This window comes from Homo sapiens, chromosome 14 (assembly GCF_000001405.40).
Source record: "Homo sapiens chromosome 14, GRCh38.p14 Primary Assembly".
In the NCBI taxonomy this organism is placed as follows: domain Eukaryota; kingdom Metazoa; phylum Chordata; class Mammalia; order Primates; family Hominidae; genus Homo; species Homo sapiens.
The window spans coordinates 79,367,528-79,380,491 of record NC_000014.9 but is presented as its reverse complement, the minus strand read 5'-3'; the positions used below and the strand labels follow the sequence as shown (position 1 = coordinate 79,380,491).

Sequence of the window (12,964 nt, the reverse complement as noted above, 5' to 3'; positions counted from 1 at the left end):
AAATCATCATCCTCAGTAAACTATCGCAAGGACAGAAAACCGAACACCGCATGTTCTCACTCATAGGTGGGAACTGAACAATGAGAACACATGGACACAGGAAGGGGAACATCACACTCTGGGAACTGTTGTGGGGTGGGGGGAAGGGGGAGGGATAGCATTAGGAGATATAACTAATGCTAAATGACGAGTTAATGGGTGCAGCACACCAGCATGGCACATGTATACATATGTAACTAACCTGCACACTGTGCACATGTACCCTAAAACTTAAAGTATAATAATAATAAAATAAAAATAAATAAATAAATAAATATATCTACCAAAAAAAAAAAAAAAAAAGAAGAAGTATATCTAGGTCTCCTGTTCCCTGCCCAGTGCACCGGTGTTTCCCTTCAGGATGCTTCACAGGTGAACTCATCCTATTTTTTGTTGGAAAAACACTGTTGAACAAATACTGCAGCTTAGAAGGTGCCACTTCAGAGCACATCCAGAAATCCTAGATTGTTTTTCTTTTTAGGTCTATGGGATTCCCACCTATACACTGGCCTTATACCCAAGAGAATGTACTTCGTATATTGTGTTACTACTGGTTCAGAAGGAATAACAACAAGGTATGCAAAAAAAAAAATGAAAGACTAGTACTTTTTTAAAAAGGCTTTTATTGGCAGAAATTGGAAAGCATGTTTTATGGAAAGGAGAAGGAGAATTAGAGTGGGGGAAAGTGGCCAAACAGCCAGTTAAACTGCCCCCTGTTTGCCTCATCATGCCAGTCTCTCACTTCCATGAGTCCTGAATCTCTCCCATTTGACAAAAGAAAATGGTTAATGGTGAGAGCTGACATCAGTGGCATTTACAAAGATAGAAGCTCCCACCATAAAGCTACAGTCCTGCCGTCACAGCTCTGAAAATGCTGTCAGAGGCATTCTGGCACCATGGGAGAGGCCTTTTAGATACAAGCGAGAGTGTCCACTTGCAGAAAGTGGGCAAATCCTGAGCTACGCACCTGCTATGTTATTGTGGAAGCAGCTGTCATATGAACATGGGCACAACCCCAGGAAACCAGGCCTCACAGAAGCTATCAACCTCAATACTCACCTGGCACCAACACTTTACGGAATGTACCTTGAGACTAATGCTCACATTTCTGCACATCCTAGCAGGAGACTCATCCCACCATTTGTCTTCACTAAACAGAAAACACCGTCACACACAATGACCACCTTATGCTTAAGGATTTACCAAAATCATTATAGGGACTATACAGTATACTCAGCTCAGAGACAGGTTTAAGAAAAGAAATTGGTCTCCAGTAAGTTAAAATTTTTTCCTGGAAAAAACAAAAAACAAAAAAATTCTAGCTTTTCAGAAAATTTTGAAAGAAAGAGGTACATTTTTAAAGAAGGCCTGCAGTTGAATACCAGTGGCTGAAAATTGAGAAAGCGGAGAAGTAAAGGCTATCTATCGTCCACAGTGACCTGAGCAGAAAGATAACACAACGTATGAAGTACTTCTTTAGTCCCTACAATCAATCCAAAACAAAAGACCACATGGATCAACTTCAAAGCCTAAATAGTGGCTTAAGCTTAGCTCTTCAGGGTTTTTTTTTTTTTTTAAATCTGTTCATTTATTCTCTCATTCAGCAAGTATTTCAGGATGTCAATGGGCTCACAATGAGTTAAGCTCCATAATCAAGAGATAAAAACCTCAATTTTAATCATTATCCATTCATTCAAAAAATAAATGAATAAACATGATTAAATGCTTATTAAGGTCAACGCTAGCATTACCTTTGTGAGGTACTTGGAATAAAGATGAATCAGACATAGTCTCTGCTTTGCTAAATTTCACAGTGTAAAGGGGAAACTGACACGTAAACTAACTTAACAACACACCATGGTATGCACCATAATAGAGCTCCATATAAAGCACTCTAGGAACACTCCTCTGTACTTCCGACTCTTCTATCTGCATTATTTATTTTCACAATTCACATTTCCTTCTCCCAGTGATGATGCTCTTACATCTGAACAAGAAAGTCAATGACAAAGCCACCAGTCTCTTCTCTGACACTCAGTTTTAACCAGGCACCCAGTAGGAGGGATCCCACGGTGGTCATCCCTAATGACTGGTTTTGGATGCAGTCAGGGCTCAGGGTTTCTCTCTGGGCACCTTAGCCAACTTCAGTGTGAATGTGAGGAAGCAGCAAATTGTATGTGGTCTGTGTGCCAGAGTCATCAACATTTTCTCAGGAGAACACTTGCCCGGCCACTTCTCTGGGATGAGCCAAGAAAAAAGATCTTTGCATGTCAAATGAAAGAAACTGGTAATGAAGGCACTGAGGATGAACACATTAGCAAAAGAACAGTGGGCACATCATGGGGCATCTGGTTTGCTCTCAGAATGAGAAAAACAGAATTGCATATTAGAAGGGGTCATTAGCCTGAGGCCATGACAAGTGTTTAACCTTTTTTGGTTTGCAAGCCAACTTCTATCAAGCACCCACTCAAGGACAACTTGTAAGAGTATAACTAATATGTCATTGTACCAATGCCACATTTCAACCTGTATAACTGATATCCCAGCTGTTCCTTTCAACACCCCACTTCTTTGCTATGCATTTCTGCTTCATAGAAACTATTCTCTTGTTAATTCATTAATTTACCAGATACTTGCTGAACACCAATACAAACCTACAGAAGGATAACTGCACTACTGAGACATATTTCTTTTTTTGAGACAGAGTCTAGCTCTGTTGCCCAGGCTGGAGTGCGGTGGCACTATCTTGGCTCACTGCAACCTCTGCCTCCTGGGTTCAAGTGATTCTCCTGCCTCAGCCTCCTGAGTAGCTGGGATTACAGGTGCACGACACCATGCTTGACTAATTTTTTTGTATTTTTAGTAGAGACAGAGTTTCGCTATGTTGGCCAGGCTGGTCTTGAACTCCTGACCTCAGGTGATCTGCCTGCCTCGGCCTCCCAAAGTGCTAGGATTACAGGCATGAGCCACTATGCACAGCCGACATACTTCTTTTAATACAGGATCCTAAACAGCGGATAACTCAAAAACACTACTCCACAACTTCTGCCACATCAGTACCGGAAATAAAAAATAGTCATGCTATGGATATTGACATTACAAAAGTTTCAGAGGCTCCAATCATTACCAGGGGTTGTACTTTCTCAAATTTCTTCTTCATGCAATTGCTTTGATAATGAAAAGCTGAGCTCAATATCTTCTGTGAAACATTGTTGATAAGAAACTCCACCACCAGAATACTAAACTTAGCATCTTAAGATACTACATGAAGCTTAACTTTTTCACATATGTTCCTATCTCTTCTTAAGTAAACATCATATTTCTGGAAGCCAGGAATCCTGTGTTAAACTTTCACGATATTGCTGAGAATGTTTATCATTGTGTTGGGCACAGAGTAAGTGCCTAATAAACACATCAGTCAGCCAATGGAATATTCAAGTATCTTCTACTTAGTAGCTTTGTATCATAAAAGAAAATTTGATAGCTCAGTATTAAAGATTTAAAATAACTACAACTAAAAGGTAGAGTCTGAGTAGTTCTAATCCACAAAAGCAACATGTTAGATTAATAGGATTGCATGGCATTAACATCTTTGCTACTTGGGTGTAAATCTGACTGGCAATAGTGCACTTAGAAGGAAACACTTCAGAAACATCTATCCATATGCATCGTAATCATGTACCTAGCAAATAGGAAACACACCACACCTTGGAGAGCTCCCAGGCTTTAAAGAGACATTTTATCTAATACATGGGTCATGTTAACTGAAATTTCAATTCTAAAAATTTTAGCTTTATAGTTTTGAAAACAGAATTAAAAAGGATCTCATCTTTATACAATGCCTACCCTTGCAATCTCATCAATGACATCATCTATGCCAGGAAAAAGTTTCCCTTCAAAGGGAACTGTTTGAATTCATGTAATGAGCTGCTAGCTGGTTTCCCATTTCTTTCTCTTCCATGCTTCTTAGAGAATCAGAGATGCAGTCAGTTTTTCAGCTAATTAATTGGAGGATGAGGATTTGAAGGAAGAAATAGACTCCACGTTTCCGTGTGAATGAATCCAATTGTACCAACAAAACATTCAATTGTTTGATATTCACATGATATATACATTGGGGAGGTAATGGGTCAAGGAAGTGACACACAATTTGTAGAGGAATTGTTTTTGGAGTCATATGTATGTGTATATATATATATATATATATATATATATATATATATATATATATATATATACATACACACACACACACACCCACATGTATATATACTCATATATATCTTGCATATATACACATATATACCATATACCATATATAATACATATATGTACATATATTCACGTGTATATGATGATGATGATGACTAAAACAATATTTGTGAGAGATATATATTACTTACATATACACTTATATATAAGTATATATACATATATGTATATTATTATATACATTACTTTCTAAAGATTTCTTCTTTCAACCATGCTCATACATTATTTTCTAAAGATTTATTCTTTCAACCATGCTCCTACATTTTGAAATAGAATGCCTTGATTGGGAATTAGAAACATTTCTAAGAATAATCTCTTCTCATCAAGTCAAATTTCATCTCAACCAAGATGTATGGATTTTTAAAATTCCTTTTAGTTTTTATATATTGATGAGAAATAATGGCATACAAACCATTTATTAAACTGAATATTATGCCTAGGGAAGGTTGGGAAGTAGATTGCTGAGGGATTTAAATTTAGTGGTTAAAATGGGGCTGTGTGAAAACTAATCTAATCTTAATATTTAAGCAGTATTTTTCTCCAGGGCAAGCCAGTCATCGGAAGAACAACACAGCCACCCTAAAGAGAAAGATGAGCTGCGAGGCACTGATGGCATGCCCACTGATGTGTATCAAGTGCACGTCCCGCTGCGGAAAGAGACACGTGTTCCTCCAAAAGGCACTCTGCTTTTTAACTCTCAGGTCTCAGACAACAAACCAAAGACACTCCTGAGACTTCAGCAGGAGTGCCCCAGACAGTGCATGAGCATGTACGATCCATTCCTTATTTTCTCTATGTCATTTCCCTGCAGAGTCAAAACAATGCATTCATTTAAAGTCCATTTATTCCAAATTTTGTTCTATGAAAAAAGGGTATATGTGTGGGAGGGGGTGGGAGCTGGAGGCGGGGGTGTAGTTTTGTGTTTAAGGAAAAAAAAAAAAAAAACACAAAAACTCAAAAGTACTGGTAAGTCCAAGAACATTAAATGACTATATAACTGGAGGAATCAGGTTTTAACCCCTCTTCTCCTGACTCGCTGAGGGACTAGTCAAGTAATTTAAATCTCTGGACCTCCGTAAAGGTAAAATGAGCTCACATCCATTTTTTAATCAGGAGCACTAGGTGGATGTCTGATAACACTGTTTTTCATATATAGCCCAATGCCTGGCATATCGTAGGTACTTAATAAATACTTGATACATGTATCCTGTGGATTTTTTGGATGCTGCTGTTCATGGAAAAATCAGCCTCTGTAAAATGTTTTAAAGAGGTTTATTCTGAGCCAATATGAATGGTGCAGCCCAAGAAAACGCAAACCCAAGAAGTCTTGCATAATTGGTACCAAAGTAATCAGGTTACAGCTTGGTTTTATACATTTTGGGGAGATAGGAATTGTAGGTAAAATTATAAATCAGTACATGAAAAGTATACATTGGTTTGGCCTGAAAAGGTGGGACATCTTGAAGCATGGGCTTACAAGTCATGGGTGAGTTTTAGAGATACTTTAGTTGGCAATTGATTGAAAGAGTTAAGCTTTGTCTAAAGACTTGAGGTCAATACAAAGGGATGCTTAAGTCAAGATAAGGGGTCTGCTATCTGCCATGTGAGGGTATACCAGAGTCAGATTGGAAAGTAAGCCACATTATGCAGGATTAATTTTTTAAAAAAAGATTTTACGGTTTGCAGAGCATGCCTTAACCCTTGCTTTGCATGGCCTTAGGTCTTATTTAGAATGTGGTATTTTAGTGTCACAATGAGTCCCTTTAGTTAATCTTATGATCTCTATTTTAATGTTAATGCTGGTCAGTTGTGCCTAAACTCTAACATAAAGGGCATGTAATGAGGCGTTTCTGACCTCGCTTCCATCAATGGCCACGAACTCAGTTCTTCAGTCTTTTCTGGGGTCCCTTTGGCCAACAGGGAGTCATCTGTTCAGTTAATTACGGGAGCTTATGAGTTAATTTTTAGTTGATAGTGCTAAGATTTTTATAAAATGTTTTGAGTGCCATATAGTACAATGAGACTATTTCCAGTATAATACAAACAAAAAAATTCACTTTACTTTCATGACATGGCATTGCTTTAGAATGAAATCAAACTTATTTGACACCTTATTTAGTAAGTTGGTCCACAGATCTGTAGGTTACTGAGTTACTCTGCTACAAATAGATAAAATAATAGATCAAATGATGAGTACCTCATGAGGGACATTTTCCTGTTACCAGAGCTCTGAAACATGACGTTTTTCTTCCATAGACTCTAAGCACCTCCTGCCCCTAGCAGGCTCAGAGAGATGAATGGGTTAGAATTAATTTGAAAAAAACCATAGATAGTAAGCTCGTGGGACCAGTCCATTTATGTATTTATTACTTTTATTTTGCTAAAACCACTACCACCAAAAATAAATATTAGAGAATAAATACTGCTTTTCGAGTATATCCTGGCAAGAGCAATATAAAAATAATTTAAGACCAACCATGTAATTATGTGCATTTATTCCAACCTTCCATTACCAGAGATAACAAGATGAATAGTAAAATGTGAACTTTAACAATCCTGTAATTATAGCCACTGAACCGTATATTATTGAAAGAATTGTGCAAAATCCAGATGCAAAAGAATCAACTTGGTAGGTAAATAGAAATGAAACAGTAAAATAATCAAGTAATGAAGAAGTAATGCAAAAAACTAAATCGCTTTCCGGAATCTTTTATTGCCACGTTTTCATTTCTTTAACAAATACTGAGTTTATTTTTATCATTTTGCCACACTTCTTACAATTACATATTGTTCAGCAGCTATAACCAACCAGCCCAGTCAAATATTCTGGGATTGCTTTTTATTCAGTTTCCTTTTTTTTCCCCCCAGAACATAATTGGAATTGATAGAGTGTTTTCCATGAGCATTTTGTGTAATGAGGGCAATAATATACACTTCACTGGTATTTCTTGAACTGTAAGAATTTTTACATTTGTTTAGTAGGTGCAAGTCACAGCAATAACAACTATATTTAAAAGAGTGTAGGTATTTCTCTGTATGAGAATGAGCATGGCATATCAGAATTGGACCTAAACATCTCATTCATCAGTAGATGGTTTTGAATTTGTTGACAGTAATTTGGGGTGTTGATAAGAAGCGTCAGATTCACAGAGTTAGGAAATGAAGACAGTCTATTTATTTAAAATGAAGTAAACTCAAGGTCTCTTTTTATATTTGTCAGGGGTGATATCTTAATGGGTATCTCAAAAATATTTTTTTCTAGAATTAAGTCACAGTTAATGCTCAATGATGTCTACTAATGAAGGGGTTGTGATATGCACGATAAAAATAAAAATAGTAAAAAAGCAGTGTATGCTTTGAAACGAATATGTCAAGTTTCTTTGGGGGTAGGGGAAGTGGAAGAGGAAAATGGGAATTTCAGAAAATTTGTCTTCCCAGTAATGTTTTATTTAAGCTAATATTAAAATCATTCACATATCCAATTCACACATTCACACATGCACCTTGACTAACAAAAGCATCAAAGCCAGCATAGAACTTAAAATACCACATTGCATGATCAAGAAAATGGACAATCAAGAGAGGGGTATCTCTGATCTTTTTCTAAAGAGCCAGTGGTAGACAACAGTCTAAAGCACAGTCAGGCATTATCTCCATGTGGTTTTAATTTGCCTTTAGTTTTCCTATGAGGAATTATTATATAATATAATAAATTAAGAAGATGCATGCACCTCCTTGGGGAAAAGCTCTTGCAAGATAGAATCTAACCTTGGAAATTATTTTTATTGTATCAGGGAGGAAAGAAAGAATGATGACAAAATGTATTATACAGAGGGATAAGCTACCACAGGGAAAGTTACAAGAACAGAGACCCTGTGTGCCGAAATTTATCTTTCTAATCAATCTTCGAATGCTTTAGAAGACTTCCTGAATCTTATTTTCAAAATATAAACTCCAAGTTTAATATGGTGTGTTTTAGTCTTAAGGAATCAATTTTCTTCACCTTTACAATTATGATGAGTTGATTCTCTCTCACACACTCTCTATGTGTGTCTTAAGTATGTGTATGTAGACATGTAGGTTTGATTAAATGTACATGTGTGGATATAAATGCTTTGTATACACTGTTAAAATGGCCATCTATATCAGCATATAAATTGTTCAACAAATGAAGTAAAGTGAGAAAAGATATTTGGCAGACTGATTTTAAATGTTCTGCCATTTTGGTTGACATTTACTTATTTATTTTTCTATATTATTTTAAAGAGTTTCCTTTGTGGAACATCCCACTTAAAGTTCCATGAATTTAGAGTCTTGTCTATCTCTAGAGGAATTAACATATACCTACAATAAAAACAGCATCGTTGGGTATTTTGTGTTTTAATTATCCTCAAATAAAATGGGCAGTACCATTACTATGAAGGTGCATAAGAATTTTCCCCACAAACGTATACGTTCACTGCCATCCAATGATCCATACTGATCATTGATAGATCTTATCAACAAAGAATTCACCGTGCCTGTGAAGTGAGGGCCCTGTTTTACTAATTTGATCTATTAAATATCAAACCTGATAAAACCATGTGAATGGGTTTCCTTCCAGACTATACACAGCTAAAATCTGGGAAGGATTTAAATACCATTTTTTAAACAGTTTTTTAAAAAAAGACATTTATTTGGATTAAACATATCAGATATAAAACTGGTTTGATGGTCACTTAAATAAGTGGTAATCAAGAATGTTAGTAGGACCAGTCTGGGATTCAAAAAAAAAATATTATATGCAAGTATCTATTCCTAGATACCCACCTAAAAGAAATAGCCTACTGTCTGCCAGAAGGCAGAAGGTTGAATCATATGTTCTGTCACCCTAACTCTCTGTGAGCTTTTATTCTATATTTTAAAAGGTATGGTGTATTTTAGTAATTTATTCCTTACAAACACATGACTAAAGGGTAGAAAAAAAATGTGGACAATGAAAGCTTCAGGAGATGATGGATTATGTAGCCACCAGCTGAGTGTTTCCAGGGCTGACAGCAAAATCCACCTGATCTGCCATATTCTTTTTCTACTGCTTGATACCTGGAACAGTTAGAACAACATTTATTGAGCATTGCCATTTTTCTCACACAATATGAGAGAAATGGCACTAAGTCTCATTAGCTGATACAATTTCTGCTTCGCTGTATGACTCTGAGGATGATATTTAGGTTTTCATAGTCTTGGGTTTTGGTTCTATAAAATAGAGTAACATTTTTGCAAAATTGTTACAAGGTTTAAGATAATGCTTGTAAAGCATCTGGCATAAGGCTTAGCACATATTAGACTCTTAAAACAAGTTAACTGCTCTTATCAGTATTTATACCTAATTGTGAATGAATTTAAGTCACCTTGTGGGAAATGTTTTTATTGAAAAGAAGAAGAAAGTTTATTAGAAAAAGATTTGTGTTTCTAATGAAAGTTAGAGGTAGTCCCAAGCTCAGTCAGTTGAGGCGGTAAAAGCATGTATTTTGGAGTCAAACATCCCACTACACCTTCTGGACGAGTTATTTAACATAAACTTGGCCAGGCACGGTGGCTCATGCCTGTAATCCCAGCACTTTGGGAGGCTGAGGCAGGCAGATCACCTGAGGTCAGGAGTTCGAGACCAGCCTGACCGACATGGAGAAACCCTGTCTCTACTAAAAAAACAAAATTAGCCAGGCATGGTAGCGCATGCCTGTAATCCCAGCTACTCGGGAGGCTGAGGCAGGAGAATCGTTTGAACCCCGGAGGCAGAGGTTGCAGTGAGCCAAGATGGCGCCATTTCACTCCAGCCTGGGCAATAAGAGCAAAACTCCATCTCAAAAAAAAAAAACAAAAAAAAACCCAAAAAAACAGAAACAAAAAAAACCCGATAAACTTTAGCTGGTTGTTCTATAAAACAGAGATTATAATAGTTATCTCATTCTTTGGAGAATTAAATGCAATAATGTGTAGAAAGTGCTTACACAGTGTCTGGCTCATAGCAACTCAATAAATTGGGGCTGTTCTTCCTTACTAAATGGTGGGGATAGAAGTGAAGCCAAGTTCAAGGGAGAACAGCAAAGGCCGACTTTCCTTACTTCATGTTTGTCTTTTCTGTCTGATTAATACCAAGTTAGGTAAATTAACCAAACAATATGTGAAGGTCAATGCGCCCAAGAAACCTTCTGGATGTGTACCAACACAGAAACTCCATATACGGAAAGTGTACTGAAATCTCAACAGAATGGGGGCAGCATAGTGACCCATGAGCTGACTGTGAGTCAGCAATGCAGTATCACTATTTCTTAACTGACAGTTCCTGGCGTACATTATCAGCCCTGCTCTATGTCTTCAAGATTAGTCATGTTCCTGCTGAAGTGCTTTTGTCTGGCTCAAGCGTCTACATTTTTCAAAAGGCTGGAGAAATTACACTAGCGCAGAGACTATCAAGTAAACTGATTAAAGTGAGAAGGATCAGAAATAATTGAAAAAGAGAAAATTGAGGGGTAACATCTGTCCATGATTTTACCATGAGACAGGGAAACCAAACATAAAAAAGAATAAATGGGCCCACACCGCTACAGGATGTAAGTGGGATATTAGGAAAAACTTGTACAATCAAAATTTCTCAGTGTCTCTGTCTCATTCCATGCACCAGGTCATCAAACCTTTGCCTTTCTGTGAATATGTTTCAATCGACTTTTCTAAGTACCTAATTCCATGGATCACTCACCATAAAAGATTTGTTATACACCATGGACATTTTATGGACTTGGCCAAGTTCTTTATAACATTGAAGTCACTACCAATCGCCTTTCCTATAAAACTACACAATGAATATCTGTCATCCTCCTTGACATAGAAGCCAAAATAGAATGGACGGAAGAATTCATCAAATACTCTACTTCTAAAGCCTCCACTTTCTTTCACTATAAGCCCACCTGTTCCTGACTGGCCCGTCCTTGCCTCCAGGCTTGTTCCATTGTACCCACCTTTGATTATACCCTCTACCTAGTTTTGGAACTTCCTACATCATCACACTGCTCGTCATCACTATAACTTTTATTGAAATACCATTTTCAGAACAACTCTTCTTTCCTCTGTTTGCACGTAGTTTTTGCTTATTTACCACACGATTGATTTTCCAACTCCATTGTTGTATTATCCAGTGGTGAAAGGTATTTTTCATACCTGATAGTTTGAATGTGACTGAATAGAATAAGTTTCCTGCCAGAGAATTTGGCTGATTTCAGTGGCCTTTTGATGTAATTATTTTGCTTTCATTCTTGGAAATGGAATCCACAAAAAAATTAATCTAAGCAAATTCACTAATGGGGATTAAATGGAACAAATGGTTGAAATATTCACAGAGTACCAATTTTGTTTTAAATAAACTTTTCTGTTTCCAGACCAAACTCTGATGGTGACTGATGTCTAGGTGGGAAGTTATAAGATTTTCTGCTGCTTTTATTTTCCTGGTACATCTTCTGGCAGACAGAGATGCAAATGTATAGGGAATGGTCAACAACACAGCTCAAAAGGTGGCAGAGGTAGAGTACACAAATTAACTCATTACCCTTTGATGAGTAAGGAATTCAAAGATGCTATGCAGAGTATTGACTGAGAATGAGCCAAGAAACACTGAACTCAGAACAGCATGCTTTGTACAATTATGGCACTTAAACAATGAGATAAAAGTCTTTTAAAGTAAAAATTAGGAAGACAAGTTTTCTTTATTCTGTGCTTATTAAAATATAATTCATATGCATTTCTAGCCTCAACACTTAGCATCAGCCATGGCAAAAAGTAGGTATTTAATAAGTGGTTGTAGAATCAATGTTAGTTCATTTCAGAAGCTAAGGAGGAAGGGATCCATAAAATAGTCTGCCCCAATCCTCTTAATTGTTTTTACAACCAACTTTTCATATATTCTCATTCCATAGCCACATGAAATTTGGCCAACTTTAGTATGCAGTCACTTCAATTCCTAAACTGGGGAATTTTAAAAATAGGGTATGTCCCCTTGTTCTGGCCCAAACAGAAATCCTGCTCCTAATATGTCCTTTTATTGACAAAGTCAGTATCATGTAAAGCCCCATAGAGGTAATAATGCTCCAAGTGATGAAATGATCACTTGTAATCATTGCAATCAATGTAAAGATGAAAACGTTCAGGAACCCTGATCTTTTTATTTATTTATTTATCTTTGGTTATAGTATATCCAATAGACGTTTCAGAAGCTCCAAGAGTCAACTCAAAGACTTACTCCAGAACACAGATTTGCAAACATCACAAGAAGCAGAAACATGGGATTATCTTCTTGGATTCCCTTCCCACAGCACAGTTTAAACCATCAAATGTAACATCATTACAAGCTTTCTTAAATCCCAAGCCTGCCACTTACTAGCTCAATGATCTTGGTGTGGTTATAAAGTTTAACTGATTCCCAGTTTCCTCATCTATACAATGAGAAGTGTGTAAGCTAGGCTACGTGCTAGTCTATTTATTTTTTAAAAAATAATAACAATAATGCAAATAAAGATCTTTGGCACTGTGTCTGACATGAATTAACATTAGTTCTTATTCTTTCTTCTTTTCTCTCATTTTCCTTTCCCTGATGTGATGTTACAGAACAGGGCCCTGAAGC

The 12,964-nt window shown here is 36.8% G+C and overlaps 1 protein-coding gene across 56 annotated transcripts in view, besides 5 other annotated features; it reads right to left on the bottom strand.

Annotated features, from left to right (window-relative positions):
* The window catches only part of NRXN3 (neurexin 3), a 1,697,919-nt gene that overhangs the window by 487,800 nt on the left and 1,197,155 nt on the right, over positions 1-12,964 (bottom strand). The window lies entirely within an intron of this gene.
* Positions 1,297-1,852: an enhancer, noted in NCBI's record as "NANOG hESC enhancer chr14:79844983-79845538 (GRCh37/hg19 assembly coordinates)". NCBI's record gives its function as "activates a minimal SCP1, AML or CMV promoter by ChIP-STARR-seq in naive H9 embryonic stem cells {active_cell/tissue: H9 hESC(naive)}" and the evidence as "EXISTENCE:reporter gene assay evidence [ECO:0000049][PMID:30033119]".
* Positions 1,920-2,713: an enhancer, noted in NCBI's record as "OCT4-NANOG hESC enhancer chr14:79844122-79844915 (GRCh37/hg19 assembly coordinates)". NCBI's record gives its function as "activates a minimal SCP1, AML or CMV promoter by ChIP-STARR-seq in primed H9 embryonic stem cells {active_cell/tissue: H9 hESC(primed)}" and the evidence as "EXISTENCE:reporter gene assay evidence [ECO:0000049][PMID:30033119]".
* Positions 5,584-6,184: an enhancer, noted in NCBI's record as "OCT4-NANOG hESC enhancer chr14:79840651-79841251 (GRCh37/hg19 assembly coordinates)". NCBI's record gives its function as "activates a minimal SCP1, AML or CMV promoter by ChIP-STARR-seq in naive H9 embryonic stem cells {active_cell/tissue: H9 hESC(naive)}" and the evidence as "EXISTENCE:reporter gene assay evidence [ECO:0000049][PMID:30033119]".
* Positions 6,185-6,787: an enhancer, noted in NCBI's record as "OCT4-NANOG hESC enhancer chr14:79840048-79840650 (GRCh37/hg19 assembly coordinates)". NCBI's record gives its function as "activates a minimal SCP1, AML or CMV promoter by ChIP-STARR-seq in naive H9 embryonic stem cells {active_cell/tissue: H9 hESC(naive)}" and the evidence as "EXISTENCE:reporter gene assay evidence [ECO:0000049][PMID:30033119]".
* Positions 8,940-9,109: an enhancer, noted in NCBI's record as "experimental_37315 CRE fragment used in MPRA reporter constructs". NCBI's record gives its function as "activates a minimal promoter by MPRAs in K562 erythroleukemia cells, with activity observed for the introgressed 14:79837811 variant allele {active_cell/tissue: K562}" and the evidence as "EXISTENCE:reporter gene assay evidence [ECO:0000049][PMID:34662402]".